The sequence below is a fragment of the Homo sapiens genome, chromosome 4 (assembly GCF_000001405.40).
Source record: "Homo sapiens chromosome 4, GRCh38.p14 Primary Assembly".
In the NCBI taxonomy this organism is placed as follows: Eukaryota; Metazoa; Chordata; class Mammalia; order Primates; family Hominidae; genus Homo; species Homo sapiens.
Window position 1 is genome coordinate 110,743,974 of NC_000004.12, and position 1,898 is coordinate 110,745,871.

The following is a 1,898-nucleotide window of genomic DNA, read 5'->3' on the forward strand; positions in this document are numbered from 1 at the left end:
ATAAAAGCACAATTGTTTGCAATTATATGCTTATTATTTTGATTATATTATCTTAATGAGTTATTATCCTATTGTATTATTTTGGAGCCCAGCACAATTTGTACTACGTCCAGCTAATCAAATTGGTTATTTCCCCTGAACTATGGGATAGGTAATCTAAATAAATTCACTTAGATATTATAATCATGGTAAAGATCAGTAGCAAACCTTTACAATGTTCAAATTCAAGGCCTTCATCTCCATTTGTCACATTCCACAAAACCTCCCCTTCCTTCTCTCTGACTTTATTGGGACTCACCTACTCATTCATTTTCTTCAAACCTGCCTCTTTTTTTCTCTCAGTTGACTATGTTTTGTCAATTGTACCATAAAGATGTTTTTTCATGCTCATTGGTTCATTTCCATCATCTCTGACACTGTTATAATTTAGCTCTTTATTTTTTTCAACCAGAAATTTGCAAGCTCTTCAAGTACTTCCTTTGCCATCAGTGCACCTCTCTGAACCTGCCCTGCCTAGAGTTCAGCTCTGATAATAATACTTCCCACCTGAAAAGCTTTCAGGGGCTCTCTCTATTGCCTACAGAATAAAGTCTCAGACCTTGGGTTGTCTTTATGGACTTCAACAATCCAGCTACAATTTACATTTCCAATGTTATCTTCCACTATAAGTTCCAATTCTCATATTTCTACACACCACTCCCATTTTTACCATGTATTTTACCCTCTAAGAATTTATTCCCATGATTTCTTCTATCTGATTGCCCCTTCCCATTCTCTGACCTTTAATGTTCTGACCCATTCCTTGTAAAACCACCTCCCAAGAAAGTTTTCCTACCCTCCAGCAGAAGGCAATTTCCCTTTTCTCTCTCCTATTATTTCATAAATTATGAAATAATTTTATTTCAGAGTAGCTGAAGCTGTTCTGTTAGTTAAATGTATCCAGACATGTTATTAATTAGGTGAGGGCATATTATGCTGTGGTAACAAAAAACTCCACCAAATCTTAATGGCTTAGCTGTGCTCCATGTTGCAGTTCAACTTTCAAGGCTGCTTTTGACACCTCTATCTCAAGAAATGCTTTCGCAGTTGTCACAGCAGAAGGAGCTACATGGGAATCACACACCAGCTCTTAAGTGCTTCTTTCTGCCTGGAATTGATACACATCTCTTCACTCATATTTCATTGGCCAAAGCAAGCTACCTTTAAGTCGATAGAAAAGTGTAAAACCTTTGAATGTGCAGAAAAGAGAGAACCAGAAATATTGGTGAGCACTATTAATTTTTTCCTTCCCAATCTGTATACCTTGTCTTTCCTTTAGTTGTATTATTTCATTGGGTAGGACTTCCAATAAAATATTGGCTAAGAGTGGTAAGAGATAAGAGAGAACATCCTTTTTGTCTTGTTCCTGATCTTAGGGGGAAAGCAACTATTTTTTTTTTAACCATTGAATATGATATTAACTGTGGGCTTTTGCAGATTCTCTAAAAAAAAAAAAACTCAAGTTGAAGAAGCTCCTATCTAATCCTAGTTTGCTGAGAATTTATATCATAAACGGATGTTGAGTTTTGTCAAACTTTTTTACTACATTTACGGATATGATCATATGATTTTAATTTATTCTCTTGGTGAGATGGATTACATTAGCTAATTTCTGCATGTTGAACCAGCCTTGCATACCTAGAATAAATTCCACATGGTCATGATATATAATTCATTTTGTACATTGTTTGATTCAATGTGTTAATATTTTATTGAGGATTTTCACATCTGTGTTCATGAGAGATATTGACATATAGTTTTCCTGTCTTGTAATATCTTTGTCTAGTTTTGGTATTTGGGTAATGCTGATCTTATAGAATGAGTTAGGACGTGTTCCCTCTGTTTTTATTTTCAGGAAT

At 34.9% G+C, this 1,898-nt stretch overlaps 1 annotated feature.

The window, feature by feature from the left end:
• Nucleotides 1,370-1,539: an enhancer, noted in NCBI's record as "experimental_72035 CRE fragment used in MPRA reporter constructs". NCBI's record gives its function as "activates a minimal promoter by MPRAs in K562 erythroleukemia cells, with activity observed for both the introgressed and non-introgressed 4:111666584 variant alleles {active_cell/tissue: K562}" and the evidence as "EXISTENCE:reporter gene assay evidence [ECO:0000049][PMID:34662402]".